Source organism: Homo sapiens, chromosome 4, assembly GCF_000001405.40.
Source record: "Homo sapiens chromosome 4, GRCh38.p14 Primary Assembly".
Lineage (NCBI taxonomy): Eukaryota > Metazoa > Chordata > Mammalia > Primates > Hominidae > Homo > Homo sapiens.
Window position 1 is genome coordinate 17071374 of NC_000004.12, and position 16389 is coordinate 17087762.

At 38.4% G+C, this 16389-nt stretch overlaps 1 long non-coding RNA gene across 1 annotated transcript, besides 1 other annotated feature; it reads right to left on the minus strand.

Annotated features, from left to right (window-relative positions):
- Positions 1-2475: 2475 nt before the first annotated feature.
- Positions 2476-11256, minus strand: LOC105374507 (uncharacterized). The gene is made up of 4 exons (XR_925441.3): positions 11065-11256; positions 6306-6395; positions 5901-6115; positions 2476-2600 (listed from the first exon to the last, which is right to left on the minus strand). It is a non-coding gene; the product is annotated as an uncharacterized LOC105374507 (long non-coding RNA).
- Positions 16203-16389: a silencer, noted in NCBI's record as "fragment chr4:17089199-17089385 (GRCh37/hg19 assembly coordinates)". NCBI's record gives its function as "represses an EF-1alpha promoter that drives an FKBP-Casp9 reporter gene in an ReSE screen in HepG2 liver carcinoma cells {active_cell/tissue: HepG2}" and the evidence as "EXISTENCE:reporter gene assay evidence [ECO:0000049][PMID:32094911]".

Consider the following 16389-nt stretch of genomic DNA (forward strand, 5'->3'; position numbering starts at 1 on the left):
GTTCTCATTAATGAATTTGTTCTTTACTCCACAACTTAAACATAACATCAAGTGGTTCATTTAGTAAATGTCATGCTTGAAGCCAAGCTTTGTGATGAGATTCGTAACCCAAGTGTGGGTTAGCAGATGAGTACGTTAGGATCCTCGTCCACACAAGAATATGAGTAGTTGGGAACCAGAAAACTTGGCTGAAAGACATTCCCTGATTCTAGCATGTATTGCTCAGATCCACAAAATTTATTTTACTTTTAGAAAGACCCTCAGTGGTATGCAGAATATTCTATTTGATGGTTAATATTCTGTGTCATCTTGGCCAGGCTATAGTATCCAGTGGTTTAACCAAACACTAATCTAGATGTTTGCCTTGAAGGTACATGGTAGATGTGGTTAACATCTACAATCATTGACCTTAAGTAAAGATAATGTAGCTGAGTCTAATCCAATCAGTTGAAGGCTTTAAGAGCAAAAACTAAGGTTTTCCAGAAAAGAAATTCTGCCTCAAGACTGCAACATCAATTCCTTCCTGTGTTTTCAGCTGCCAGCTTCATCTACAAATTTGGGATTTGCCAGCCCCCACAATCACATGAGCCAAGTCCTTAAAATAAATCTCTTTCTCTCTCTCCACATATACAATATATTAAAAGATATATATTACATGTATAATATACATATGTAATATATGTATATATGTATGTACATATTACATAATACATACTCATGTAATATGTGTATGTTATATATATATATTTAATATGTACATATCTTACTGGTTCTGTTTCTCTGCAGAATCCTGGCTAATACACTACATCAATTTAAACTTCCATCGCTCTCTCAAAATTAACTTCTGCAACCCTGAAGGAACTACTTGCACCTATTTTACACTCAGTATCTGAACTTGCTTTTGTTACGTTTGTTTCTAACCATTTTTATGGTCTTAGGATTTGGACGTGAAGTTGCTTTGTGTATTATTTGCGACTTTTGAGGGGGACACTGTTAGCATTCTGCTCAAGTCCACCTTGGATCCCTTTTAACTTTACTGTGAGTCTTTCCCCAGAATGTTGTGTGTTTTTGCTTCTGCAGCTCTCTTTGTTGGGTCTTCTCTTATGTTACTGAAGCCTTCTTCCCCATGAGCACAGAAAGCCTACGTGTTAATATCTTAGTCAATGACTGACTGGTGTGGGAATATGGAAGCCCAGTATCCTCGGCTTAAGTTGGGGTAAACACTGAAATGTAGTTTACACTCCAGAGGTCCCTGTGGGATCAGATTGAGTCTGGGACTCTGGCTTGGCTTCTGCCAATTTCCTGTCCTGCTTCCTGCCTCTCTTACTACTATCTCCTAGGAATGCTTCCTTATCTCAGGCCTTGCTTCTGGCAAGCTCAGTCTAAGACACTCTGTTATATTCTCCTTTCTCTGGAATCCAGATTCTTATTCTAGCTATGCTAGCTTGGAAGAGCCTGGAGAGATAACCTGCCTGTAATTCCGCAGACCATCCCATCAAGAATGAAATTTTTAGTTAGTTCTGTCTCCCTGAGTAAGATCCAGACAGATCTGAGAAAATACTAAATACAGAAATGCAAAAGCAAAGGTAGAATTATAGAATGACACAGTCATAGCAGCTCAGAGTTGGAAGAAACCTAAAAGTATTTCATCCAAAATCCTACCTACTCATGAATTCCTTCTTTAACATCTCTGGAAAGTGGTCGTTGCATTCTTTTTGAATAGTCTCTACTTTTCAAAGCATCATGTCCCATTGTTGAAGTGTTATGTCAGAAAGTTTAATCTTACACTGAGTCAATTTATTCTCCTATAAACTTCACCCATTTGAAAAAAGAAGTCTTTGCTGTTTATAAGAATTGCATTGAAAAAGAGTGATCCCAAGGGCTCATGCACACCACAGTGCAATTCCTTAATGAAAAATTTTAGAAGTTTCCTTTTACACCTGAGTTTAATCCAATATCCCTCCAATAGTTGCCTTGTTTTCCACAGGAGTGAAAGAGCCTCAAGACACATATGTAGGGAAGATAAGACATTTCATTGTTCAGCACAGGAGAGACCCATGGCTACAAGTTAGCAAACTTCAGAAAGACTTCTCATAAGACTGCTGATAATATATTTGAAAAGGTCCCAGTCCTTATCCAATAAACACTTAGGATCTATAAAAGGGTTTACAATATGTGTTCAGCTGAGTGAGACTCTCAAAATCAATAAAGAGCCCCAGTGCTTATCTGGAGGAGGTAAGCATCAATGATCTCTTTGTTAGTTAAAAATGTTTACTTCTAGAAAAGATGATGTAAAAGCCAACTGATTATGTAGGGGCTGATTTCAGTGTGAATATACATAGTAGGTCTAATTCCATGTTCATTTAGCTGCCATTTAAACATTTGAGTCCTGGCCTAAGGCTCTCTTTGACCATCTTCAAGTGCTCCGGTCAGTTTTCAAAAGATACAGCGAAGCTCACTGCTCTCAACCCTTACCTCTCAGCGCCGTGCCCTCTTCTCTTCCCAGGGATTCCCCCTCTATATTCCTTTCTGGGCTCTGGGTCCTCCTGATCTTTGCATTTTGTTCACCATCAAACTTTGTTTCTTTTTGAGAGCTGAAACTGGAGTGGAAATGACTATTAATTTAATATCCTTACTCTGGCCTAGAGGCCAACATGATTTCCTCCCATCAACATTCTGCTCTGAGCTCCTATCACCCCCATTAGCCTCTCCAGCCCCACTGGTCTCTGCTGTTTCTCAAACACTCCTGGGACTCATGCTTCAGGGCTTTAGCATTTGCTTTCTCTCTGTCTGGAAGGACCTTCCCCACATGGATTCTGATGGCACCGGGGTTAATCCATTCTCACAGTGCTATAAAGACATGCCTGAGACTGGGTCATTTATAAAGAAAAGAAGTTTAATTGACTCACTGCTCTGCATGGCTGGGGAGGCCTCAGGAAACATAATCATGCCAGAAGGTGAAGGAGAAGCAAGTACCTTCTTCACAAGGTGGCAGGAGAGAGAGAGTGAAGGAAGCCACACACTTTTAAACCTTTAGATCTTATGAGAACTCACTCACTATCACAAGAACAGCACAGGGGAAACCGTCCCCATGATCCAATCACCTCCCACCAGTTCCTTCCCTCGACACATGGAGATTACAATTTGAGATGAGATTTGGATGGGGACACAGAGCCAAACCATACCAGAACCCTAACCTCCTTGAGGCTTTTGCTCCACCTTCTTACTAGAGCGACCTTGTCTGACCACCCTGTATATTTCCTTTCTATTTCCATTCATGGCATTTATTACCTCTTGGTGTTTATAAGCTTCTTCATGTACTGTCTTTCTACCCCTATTAGAATATCATCACTAGAGGGCAGGGAATGTGTCCATTTTGTTTTCTGCTGCCACCTGACACTCAGAACTACGTTTAGCATCCAGTGTAACTACTCTATGTCTATATAACCAAAAGTCAAATTTTCATATTACCAAGGTTCATGTCTTAGCATATTTCTTTATTTGCAATACTTTTTGCAAAAGTTAGAAGAGTATCTCTGCATCTCTGCTCCCAACTACCTAGATTTTCTTCCTAAAGGCAACCAATATAATAATTTCTTTATGTATCATGCACGGGAAACTTTTTGCATATACAGGAAAATATACATGAAGGTATTCTTTTTTATATTTTACTCAAATGAAACCATACTATGCATACCATTTTGCTAACTAAGTAATATAACATGGAATCATTTCATACCAGTATAAATGAAAATACTTTATTTAAAAAGACGTATCCACACGGTCTTCCACTGAAAGGATGTACCATAACATATTTATCTAATCCCCTAATGATGGACACTTTGCTTATTTCTATTGTATGATTTCTTTGTACACTCATTACTTTGATCATTTTCAAGTGTTACATTGGACCATACACAAATGTAGATATTTAACCATTTTGCATTAAGAGGATAAATTTCTAGAAGTAGAATTGCAGATTAAAGGAGACAGACATTTGTGAAGTCAATCAATATTGTCAAATTGCCCTCCAAGGAAGATGTACAGGTGACTTTCCCATTACAGGAGAGTTTCTATTTCCCCACACCATGCTGGCACACAATGTTATTAAATGTTCTTAACTTTACCAATTTGATAGGCAAAAAGTGATACCTCATTGTACTTCTAGTATGCATTTATTTTATTATTAGGCTGAGCATCTTTCTGTATGTGTAAAACCCATTTGTATTTCCTATTTTATAAACTGTTTTGCCTATTTTTCTATTAGGTGTTTTTATCTTTTTTTATGTTGATTTGTAGATTCTCTCTATTAGATAGATGATTTCTATATTTGCAGTCTGAGTTGCAAATATTTGCTCCTACTTTGTGTTTTGTCTTTGAATTTATGCTTATTTTTTTCTTTGCGGAATTCTATTTCTACATTTATGTGGTTAAATTTATGTTTCATGTTGGTTTTGTGTTCTAGGAAATGACTTCCTTTCTCCAAGATTAATATTAAAAAATTCTTCTATATTTTCTTCTAGTATTTTATGGTTTCCATTTATATTGAATCTTTTAAAAATACGGAGCTTATTTTCAAGTGTGGGTGAGGTCAGGAGCCAGCAAGATATGTATTTTTTTCAGATGGCTACCCCATTTTCCCAACTCCATTTTTTGAAGTTGGCTTTATCCCTTTTTCATATATTAAGTTCTCATATGTATTTGCATTTATATTCTGCACTTTCTGGTATATTTCACTGACCCATCTGTGCATGCATATAGCAATACTACACTGCTTTAATTAGTGTAGATGTATAACATGTTTTAATAAATGGAAAACCTAGATTCCCTTAATCGTTCTTCTTTTCTAGCATTTTTCAACTCTCTCTGCTTGCCTTATTTCCATATTAATTTTACACTCAACTTACCTAGATCCCCCCAAAAAATTCTGTTGAAATTGAATTTAATGAGTCTATTGTTTCTTCATTAGGCATAATGTTGATTTTCAGGTTAAGGTACATTTAAAATACATATTCATATAGTTGTATGTCATATAAATAAGCATTTCTCTTTTTATTAATTAAAGTTTTATTAAGGTGAACTATTGAATTTTATCCAATATCTTTTCAGTAGCTTTAGAAATAATTATATAATTTTTTCTTTTGATCAGTTTCTCTGATGAATTACATGGATGGATTCCCTAACATTTCAATACCCTGGGATTAAGACCCCCTTGATTATAGTATTACTTATTTAATGCATTCTGGATTCGGTTTGTTATCAATACAGGTAAATTAGTTTGTTCTGCAATTTACTTTTTTTTTCTCTTTATATATGGTTTAGGTTCAATATTATGCTAAGTTCAAAAAGGAGAATTTCAAAAACTGCTTTATACTTCCATGTTCTGGAACTGTTTAAGTCACATTGGATTAGCCTCGTCCTTAAAGGTTTGGTGGAATTAATCTGTGAAACCATCTGGGGTGGTTGCTCTGGGGGATGTAATACTTTGACTATACTCCCAGGTTTAGTGGATGCTAGTGAACTTAAGCTTCAGGGCCCCTTGCATGGGACCCTAATAAGTCCCTGAAAGGGCCCTAGCAATTTGTCCACATGATCATATGCTTTTGTGAAATCTGTAAAGTGAGATGTTTTAGTCACAATTGGCTTAGGCCACTATCTCCATGCTAATTTCTAAGTTAGCCTTCTGTTTCTGTCAGGTGGTGCTGGAGGGACTGCAGACATTTTTGGGGGTCTGGCTAAAGGGAACGTGGTAGACTTGCAACTAGGCCGCTCAAATCCCCCTTTAAGAAAGGACTTGCATCTCACCTGCAGAAAGTGTGCTCGGCAGTCTGCAGCTGCCGGCTCCTTTGGGGATAGCCTCCCTGCTGACCATGTTACCCTTGTCAGGGCAGCCCTCTTACCTGGTGATTGAGTGAGAAGAACATGAATGCCCAGGTGTTTCAGCCCAATGGAGAACACTCTGACAAATGCTACCCTCTGGAGGGCTCTCTACAGCACTGTTGATGTCTTCCTTTGTGCGATCCTGTGTCCTCTCCTTCCCAACACAGCTGTTGATTCCTAAGGAACACCTTGTACCCCAAATAGCCTCCCAGCATCTGCTTCTAGAGAATCCAGCCTGCAATAGGAAAGTTGAGTTCGACGTACATTTAGTTTGATTTTAACAGGATACAACACACACGCACACACACTATGGTTTTCAATCAACCACAGTCAACCAGCTTCTGTGTTTTGTTATTTATTGTTGCCAGATTTGGTGTGTAGTCTTGGCTTCCAGAGTACTCCTACTCCCCAGGGTATTTCCTCACCTGGCATTATCACATGAGTGGTGCCCGGCTCTGCAAGTATCCAGGGTGAAGAAGAAACCAAGTTTGAAGTATAGGGAATCAGAACGTAGTCTGTAAAAAAAAAAAAAAAATTCCAATTGCCATACGTGTAAATGTGTAAGCAAAGAACTTGTTTTCAGTCAATACCAGTCAAAATGGAAGATTACTCCTGAAAGAAAAATCCTCAATAATGTAGCATATTCACTTTAAAAAGCATCACACTTTAAAAAAATCAAGCTGCACAAAATAGAACTTGAAATTCTCCTATGTACGGCACAAATCTGCAGCAATACTCAAAACAGCAAATACATCTGTATGTGAAGTAGAATGTTGTTTGTCTGCTTTTGTGTCCCTATCTATTGAATTGCACCTTAGCAAAGTTGAGAGATTCCAGACAAATGGCATGCCAAATTACTACCCAAAACTGAAAGAGCCTGAATAAACAAGTATTCCAGTGACAAAATCACACATATTTATCAATATGTCAATGCATGCTACTTATGAGTAATTTGGTCACACAGTTATGTAGTTCAATGCAACACAGAAGAAATTTTAAAATGTTTTAAATTGCTCTAGGTAATGAGCGATATAAATTCAAACAGTAATTAAGATTAGTCATTGCATAAGAAAATTTAAAATACCTGAAAATACGTATCTCATATAGGAAAAAATACCATGGTTTTCCCAAACTTGCCAATAATCCTAAAATACTTTTATATTATCAGTAATGAGTTGTGAAGCTAAAAAAAAAAACTGTAAGAGGCAATAATTAAAAATTTTTAATTAATATCACTAGAGGAAGACCAAATTGCCTTTCTCATCTTTCTATAGAAAATGATGCTCAAAAGGCATTATTATATGAAGAGATAACAAAGTATGCTGCCAAAAACTGTTGCAAAAGTATAGTATGGATGTATTGTTTAATAAAAATACTATGTTATTTACCTGAGCTTTGCAATATTTGCATTTGGGTTTACCATTTTGTTTGTAATTTATCCTTTTTTATATCTTCTTTCCAAACAAACATTAACTTTGCTTTTTTTTTTTTTTTGAGACAGAGTCTTGCTCTGTCACCCAAGCTGGAGTGTAGTGGTGTGATCTTGGCTCACTGCAACCTCCGCCTCCCAGGTTCAAGCAGTTCTCCTGCCTCAGCCTCCTGACTAGCTGGGATTACAGGCACAGGCACACACCACCATGCCAGGCTAATTTTCTGTCTTTCTAGTAGAGACGGGGTTTCATCATGTTGACCAGGCTGGTTTTGAACTCCTGACCTCAGGTGATCTGCCCGCCTCGGCCTCCCAAAGTGCTGGGATTACAAGCGTGAGCCACCGCACCCAGCCTCACTTTGCTATTTTTATTTCAATATTTTTATATTTATTTATGAAGAGAATAACAAAATTTTTTAAGTATTGAGACCCTAAAAACTGGAATCCAGTTCTGCTCTCAATGTTTATGGGTCTGTGTGTGTGAATGCAAACATGAGCAACTTAGGGAATTTTATCTTTTCGGATGTTTTATTTCTTATAGGGTCAGTTTTAGTAATCTATGTATTCCTAGATAATCATTCATTATCATTACTCATTTTATTCTGCTTTCCAATCTATTTGCAAAAAGCAAAGTAGTCTCATATTTTCAATTTCCTTTGTCAGTAGTGGTCTGGCTCTTATGATGTAATCTGTATGTTCTCTCTGTTTTTCCTGAGTTGATTATCCAACAGAGTTTATCTATTTATTGTTCCTCCCTTAAAAACAGTTTATTTTGGCTGGCCGTGGTGGCTCATGCCTGTAATCCCAGCACTTTGGGAGGCTGAGGTGGGTGGATCACTTGAGGTCAGGAGTTTGAGACCAGCCTGGCCAACATGGTGAAACCCTGTCTCTACTAAAAATACAAAAATTAGCCAGGCATGGTGGTGCACACCTGTAATCCTAGCTACTCAGGAGGCTGAGGCAGAATTGCTTGAACTTGGGAGGTGGAGGTTGCAGTGAGCTGAGATGGCGCCACTGCACTCCAGCCTGAGGGACAGAGTGAGACTCTGTCTGAGAAAAATAAAAGAAAAAAAAAAAAACAACAGTTTTTTTTAGTTCAACAATTGTTTACATGCATTACTTTCTGCTCTTATTTTTACTTAACCATTTTTTTCCTGGTGTGTCTTTCCTAATTCTTATATTTTCAACCACTCTTTGCTTTAAATGAGTCTTTTTTCTCAGCATATAATAGGATTTTGCTTTGTAAAATCCAGATTTTTTTTTTTTTTTGAGATGGAGTCTCGCCCTGTTGCCCACGCTGGAGTGCAATGGCACAGTCTCAGCTCACTGGGACCTCCGCCTCCTGGGTTTAAGCGATTCTCCTGCCTCAGCCTCCCAATTAGCTGGGATTACAGGCACGCGCCACCACGTCCAGCTAATTTTTTTGTATCTTTAGTAGAGACGAGGTTTCACCATGTTGACCAGGCTGGTCTCGAACTCCTGACTTTGTGATCCACCTGCCTTGGCCTCCCAAAGTGCTGGGATTACAGGCGTGAGCCACTGTGCCTGGCCAAATCCAGATGTATTTTTAAAATGTAGTAGTTAAGCCATTTATAGTTATTGACACGTCAGATACATTTAATATTGGCATCATGTTTTGCTTTCTGTTCGTATATATTTTCTTGACTTTAAAAAAAATTTTCACTATACAGAGTGTATTGTGTTTCTTCTCATCATTTGGAAGATTTGTGTATATCTTCTGGATAAGTTCTTTATAATTATAATAACATAATTCACTTAATGATGTCTTTCTTTAGACAGTATCAATTGAATTTCTATAACAGTGATAAAATTGATACATGTCCACATCTTCCCTTGCCCTACTCACCAATTTTAGTTGAATGACTTTCCATAAATTATCATGTTTAAATGATATCTTTTTACTCCTGGTTATAAAGGATAAGAACATAAGAACACACTTATACTGCCTTCATTTTTTTCTCATCCTTCTCTCTCAACTATTATAATTTATATAGTTTCTACATTGGTCATATATGTAGCATTTGTGTTATGTTTTGTAGCTAAAATACTCTTATTCATTCAGTCTTTATTCTACTTCTCAGTATAATCCTAACAGGGTGTTTTTTTTTTTTTCTTTTTTTTTGCTACGGATTCTCCAGTCATCTCTTTGTTAACTAAACATTATATTTCAGTGGTTTCTTCAAGAAAAATTCATAAGATCTACACATTCAAAAATGTTTTTCTGATTTTTTTTTTTTTGGTGTCTGAGCAAGGTGTAAAATTAATGGGTCTTACTTTATTTTCTTGAAGACATTGTCACTTTTGTGTTTTTATATTGGGGTTTCTGATGTTATTTAGAAGAAATATAGTTGGGTCAATGGAATTCCTAGAGCCCCAGAAATTAAAGCCACTAAATTGGTCACTCACTCTCTAGATTGGGTGAAACCTGAAGCTTTTTGGGTTCTTTCTCTCTGATATTTTGTAATCTGGGTTTAAGCCAAATATGCCCCTTTCCGATGATACCAATTGATTTGGGGTGATATAATTGCTTATTCATTAGCAGCTTGTTGCCTTTAAAAAAATTGTTCATTTTTAACTCTGCATTTCCTAATCAAAAGCCTGTGTGGATTTGGGGTCCACAAGAAGCTAGTGCTCACCCTTTCTGACAATGAGGATGATGCAACTTTGTCACACTCCTCTTTCTTCTGTGGCTGACAAGAAGCTTGCAGCAAATCTGATCCCTATTCACAGGCACTTTCCTAACTCCAGTGATTTGTGTGTTTGCCTCTTCATCCCCTCGTGGTGCTGACTTTTTGCTTGGCAGCCTTGCTCATATGCAGGGTCTTTTGGTTGCTATTCCCTTTCCAGGAGAGCATCCTTTCCACTCTCTTCCCATTGATAACTCCTAGACACCCTTCAAGGCTCAGCTCACACATCAGCTCTTTCGGCAAGCCTTCGTGGGTGCTTCCACAACCTTCTATTATTGCACTCATCCCAGTGCATTATAATGTTTTTGTTTATGTGGTTCCTCAACTACACATAAAGTGGGAACTCTCTCAGGATCACATAAGTGTTTTTTGTTTTGTTTTGTTTTTGTATTTGTGTTTTTGTTTCTTTTTGTTTGTTTGTTTGAGACAGAGTCTCACTCTGTCACCCAGGCTGGCGTACAGTGGCGCATTCTCAGCTCACTGCAACCTCTGCTTCCCGGGTTCAAGCCATTCTCCTGCCTCGGCCTCCTGAGTAGCTGGGATTACCAGACACCTGCCACCATGCCCTGCTAACTTTTGTATTTTTAGTAGAGACAGGGTTTCACCATGTTAGCCAGGCTGGTCTCAAACTCCTGACCTCAAGTTATCTGCCCGTCTCAGCCTCCCAAATTGCTGTAGGTGTGAGCCACCACGCCTGGCCGACATAAGTGTTTTTTATCTCTGATTTCCCAACATCGAACAGTGGATTTATGTTTATTCAATGAATAACTAAATGAAGGAATGATGCTTGTTCTTCTATTTTTTAAGCTGTAAACCACATAAAATATATTTTATCAAGGGCCCTCCTGCTATCTTTCAAGGCCTTTGCTTTCTGTATTTAGTTGTATCATTCATCACTTCCTTACATAGACCATCTGACCCAACCAACCGTAAGTCTTTACTCATGCAGCTTGCATTTCCTCCCTCACCCCATCCCCAGCTGGCTCCGCAAAACCAGACATCCCACATTTAATCTGGTGACATTGCCTTTCCCCTGACTCCACTTACCTTGCAGCCAAAAGATAATTGGATGCTTAGTTAAGATAGATCCCTGGCAGGAGGCTGGCATTGTTTTCTCCTGATGTGTCTGTATTTCGACACCTGGGTTACTCTTCGGGCTTCTCCAACTGACTCTCTGGTTTTAATTTGCCTCAACATACCATTTGGTTTCTTCAAGTAGCTGAACTGCTCCCTTCTTTTTGTCCCTGGAAGAGGGGAGCTCATTTAATAATTTCATAATGGAATGCATTTCTCTTATAAAACTGATTAATGTCCCAACTACATCTAGGAAATGAAAAAACAGATATCCCTGGAAGTTTAGTCAATTACTGATCGGCCAAATTCCTAGGTTCCATTATCGGATAGAAAAAACGAACACTGAATTTGGAGAAAAATGATCTGGAGTTGATCCTAGCTTTATCACTTGCCCATTACGTTTCTTCGGGAATGTACACCTCCTGAGATTTGATTGCCTCCTTGGAACTAATGATTCTTCTGTGCTTCATAAGATTATCACGGGTATGAAGTGATTTTACGAAGTCAAGAGTCATTTTAAAACTTTGATGGATTACACAAGCAATAGTTGTTACTATATAAGAAATTTCCACTCAAATCTGTAACTCCTACCTGACCTTTTCTTTTCAACAATGGTTATACATTTTTTAAACATGCAATATAGTTATTATCCTTCTAGCAACAAAATCAGTGAGGGCCAGCATGTGAAGTTCTAATAAATCCTGAACTCAGTGTGTTCTAATATGCACTGAATTAGTTTTTGACACACCCTCTCCCAATACCGTGTGATGTAAGGGTTGTGATCAGTCTTATAAATTTTCATATCATACGCCTAAGTGGTGACAGAAATTCTAAGCCTACCAATTCATTTGTTCAAAAATTCATTTGTTTCTCCAAATATGAATTTAGAAGTGTGCTTCCTAACTGGCCTTTAAGAAGCTGTGTATCGGCTGGGTGCAGTGGCTCACGCCTGTAATCCCAGCACTTTGGGAGGTTGAGGCGGGTGGATCACGAGGTCAGGAGATCGAGACCATCCTGGCCAACACGGTGAAACCCTGTCTCTACTACAAAAATACAAAAAATTAGCTGGGCGAGGTGGCGAGCACCTGTAGTCTCAGCTACTCAGGAGGCTGCACCAGGGGAATGGCGTGAACCTGGCAGGCGGAGCTTGCAGTGACCTGAGATCGCACCACTGCACTCCAGCCTGGGCGACAGAGCAACACTCCGTCTCAAAAAAAAAAAAAAAAAAAAAAAAAAAGAGCTGTGTATCTGGCTCTGGAAAAAGTTCTACTCAGTCTCATCACAGTGGGGCTCAAGTAGTGGATGTGATTTATTTTGTGTTGGTTTTCATCATAAAGCCCTGGTGTTGAACTTTAGCTTCTTTGATTCAATAATGATAATACTAACGAATGACAATGATTATGTTATTTTTAAGGCTTCTCTGGAGCTATGTATTTTAAGAAATTAAGGCAATTTACATGTTTTATACTTGAAATGATGGTTCGTGACCTCACTATATAAGGCATTAGATATAGCTAATTATTTGCCTGTGTTAGAATCACCTTATTTTGATATAGAAAGCAGTCTTTTTTTTACTTTGCCAGATTTTAATTTTTTTCTAAAATTTCAGTAATCTCATTATTAATTTCCAGACAGTAAATATTAATTGCATAACATTAAATACACAAAAAGTATGAAGATATTTAATAATATTTACAACCTTATTTTTGATACTACATGTCAAAATTGTTGTATATGTCCTTGCAAATAAACACACACACGCATACACATTTTTAAAGTGAAATGTATATTAAATATTTCACCTGGGACATTTTACAAATTTTTCCCTGTTTTAAAACAAATGCCTATTTATTATAAAAAATTTGAGAGGACGTTTAAGATGTTTTTACTCATTAAAGACATCTTAAAGAAAGTAAAACAACAAATTACCAACTGCAAGAATTAATTTGTAACACAATTAATTGATAAGTGACTAGAATCAAGAATATATAAAGAGTACATAAAAAGTTCCTTTAGGCCAGGCGCAGTGGCTCACGCCTGTAATCCTAGCACTTTGGGAGGCTGAGGCAGGCGGATCACAAGGTCAGGAGATCGAGACCATCCTGGCCAACATGGTGAAACCCCGTCTTTAAAAAAATAAGTAAATAGCTCCTTTAGATACAAAACAAAAAGACAAAATACCCTAATGAAAAATGGATTTTAAAAGTATGAACAGGAACAAAATAGGAGCAGAAATACAACAGGCTAAAAAAGAAAAATACAAACAGATGTTCAATCCCCATAGTAATTAGGAAAATGTAAATCAAGATTAAAATGTAACTTTACAGCCAATTGATTGAAAAATAATGTTTTGGACAAATTTGTGATGGACAATAATTTAAAAAGTTGGAAGAATATCAAATTTTGAAAAAAATTTGGGAAGAAGTTTAAGATGTTTTTACTCATTAAAGACATTTTAAAGACAGTAATAACAAATTCCCAACTGGGAGAATTCATTTGTAACACAATTATTGATAAGTGACTAAAATCAAGAATATGTTGATATTCTTGATATCAATGGCACAAATTTTGGAGACAGAGAGGGAGAGGAGAGAGATTTCTGTCCATTATTAATTACCTAGTCTCAGGTATCCTATTATAGCAGCACAAAATAAATTGATATACCTTCTATGGAAAATTGCCTCAATCACATCCCTTGCGAAGGGACACAGCCAGTGTTTTTGCCTTTATAGCAGGGGCCATATTCAGTACCAAACAATCACTCCTCAGCCACGATAATTTAACTAGAAATGATCACCTGACTCACAGTAAAATAACAGGTTGATAATTCAGACACTCTGATTTTAAAAATACGGCAGCAAATTCTTTGGCACCCTCCTATAAAGAAGACAGAGGTCATCTATGCCTCCTCTCCTTGAATCTGTGCTTGCCTAGCCGAAAGAATATAGCAGAAATGATACAATGTCAGTTTCCAAAGGGAGGCCTTCTGAGGTTGTAACCTCTACTTCCTCTCTTTTGAAATGCTAGTCACCATGCTGCAGAGAAGCACAAGTAGCCATGTAAAGAGGCTCATGTGGGAAGGAACCTAGGCCCCTGGCCAGCAGCCTCCACTGAGCTCCCAGCCAACAGCCAGTACCAACTTCCAGGTATGTGAGCGAGTCATCTGGGCTATGGATCCTTCAGCCCCATTTGAATCATTTCGGTTGATACCTCATGAAGCAGAGATAAGCTGGACTCACTGAACCCTTCCCAATTGCAGAGTCACGAACGAGTTTTGGGATGGCTTGTTACACCGCAACAGATAACCAGAATTCCTAATTTCTCAGGCCCCACTTCTCAGATTTTTTAATGTGGCCTGGCCCAAAAACGTTTCAGGAACAGGGAGCGACCAGTCCCATTAGATTCCTATGATTAGGAATTTAAATTAGAAAAGATGGAGAAATAAGTGTTGGCAAAAAAGAGAAGTTAGAAGTCCACCAGGATGGAAGAGAGGCCATGAAGGGAAGAGGAAGTAAGGCAAGAGAAGCCAAGAGAGAACTGAGGGAGTCCAGGTTAAACCCTGGCCTATGCTGTCATGTGACTATTTACATTAAACTTCCTCTGCATAGACAAAAACATGGGTTTTGCTGGTAGTCAGCATATTAGAACTCTCAAAATAAAACTAATCCTGAGCATCACCTAGTTAAGAGAGAAAATGACTTATCATTTCCCTCATCTGGGATTTATGAGTACCTCTGGAATTACCAAAAAGTGACCAAAAATTTTTTAAATGAAGACAAAGTGGCTCACACCTGTAATCCCAGCAATTTGGGAGGTAAGGTGGGTGGATCACCTGAGGTCAGGAGTTCAAGACCAATCTGGCCAAGATGGTGAAACCCCGTCCCTACCAAAAACACAAAAATTAGCCAGGTGTGGTGGCAGCACCTGTAATCCCAGCTACTTGGAAGGCTGAGGCAGGAGAATCACTTGAACCCAAGAGATGGAGGTTGCAATGAGCCAAGATCATGCCACCGCACTCCAGCCTGGTCAACAGAGCAAGACTCCATCTCAAAAAAAAAAAAAAAAAAAGAAGACAAAGAAATTTGTCTTGATTTACAAAAGGACAAAGAAAAAGACAGAGTTTGATGTGGATGTGTGTATTAGTTTTCCATTGCTGTTTAGTAAGTTACCACAAACTCAGAGGCTCAAAACACCACCAACTTATTATCTCAGAGTTTCCAGGGGCATGAGTCAACTGGGCTCTCTTCTGAGGGTCTTACAAGGCTGAAATCAACGTGTTGGTCAGCCTGCATAACTGGAACTACCATTTCTTCCTAGTTGTACCTGGGGACTGCTCTCAGGTGGTAGTCACATGTGCTCCTCCATTGGCTCTCTCTCTCCACATGGCTGTCTACTTCTTCAGGACTAGCAGAGGAACCGCTTATACTCTATACCTTTTCCTTCAAGAAGAGAACAATGTCTTTGAAAGGCTCACCCAATTAAGCCACACTCAACCAGAATAATCTTCTTTTTGATTAACTCAAAGTCAACCCATCAGGGACCTGAATTACATTTGCAAAATGTCTTCATTTTTGTCACATAACCTAATTATAGCCACAGTCTTGCCCCACTCAAGGGGAGGGCATCATATAGAGCATATACATAAGGGGTGTGGACAGTTTAGGGGCCACCTTAGAATTCTGCTTACCACAGTAGGGTTATCAGGTATAATTATAGGATGCCAAGTTAGATTTCAATTTCAGATAAACAACAAATAATTTTTTAGTATGCTTGCTTCCTGAACTTAGCCTTCAGAATGTTCTAGTGCCTACAATAGGGTCATGAGCTCAAATGTTCCTAGGGGGCAAGAAGGTGATGTGAGTAGAGAGGCCAGGTAGGAACTGTGGCCGACTTAGAGGCTCATGCCTCAGGTAACGGAGGCCACAGCTCTGCAACTGCAGCTGGCTGTTGCCATGAGGACTCACAGGCCAAGTGGCAGGAACTTCTGATGCTTTTTCAAGAGATAGTACTTCAACTTGAATTTCTACATGAAGTGTTCCAGGGATGACCGTTAATCCAACATTTAAAAACAAAAACATTTTATGAGTTACATAAAACACATTTATGGAATATATTTTGGCCCATGGAAGCCAGTTTGCAACCCATAATCTAAGATCTGCAATCCTTGAGACTTTGGTTCCTCCAGGATGCGGGGAGGGCTTCCCTTGGTCCTGCTCATGACACTCTCCTGTCTGAAGCCCACAAAATTTATATCTCTTTGTACTCCCATCTCACTTAGCCACTGAGCTTCATCTCTAA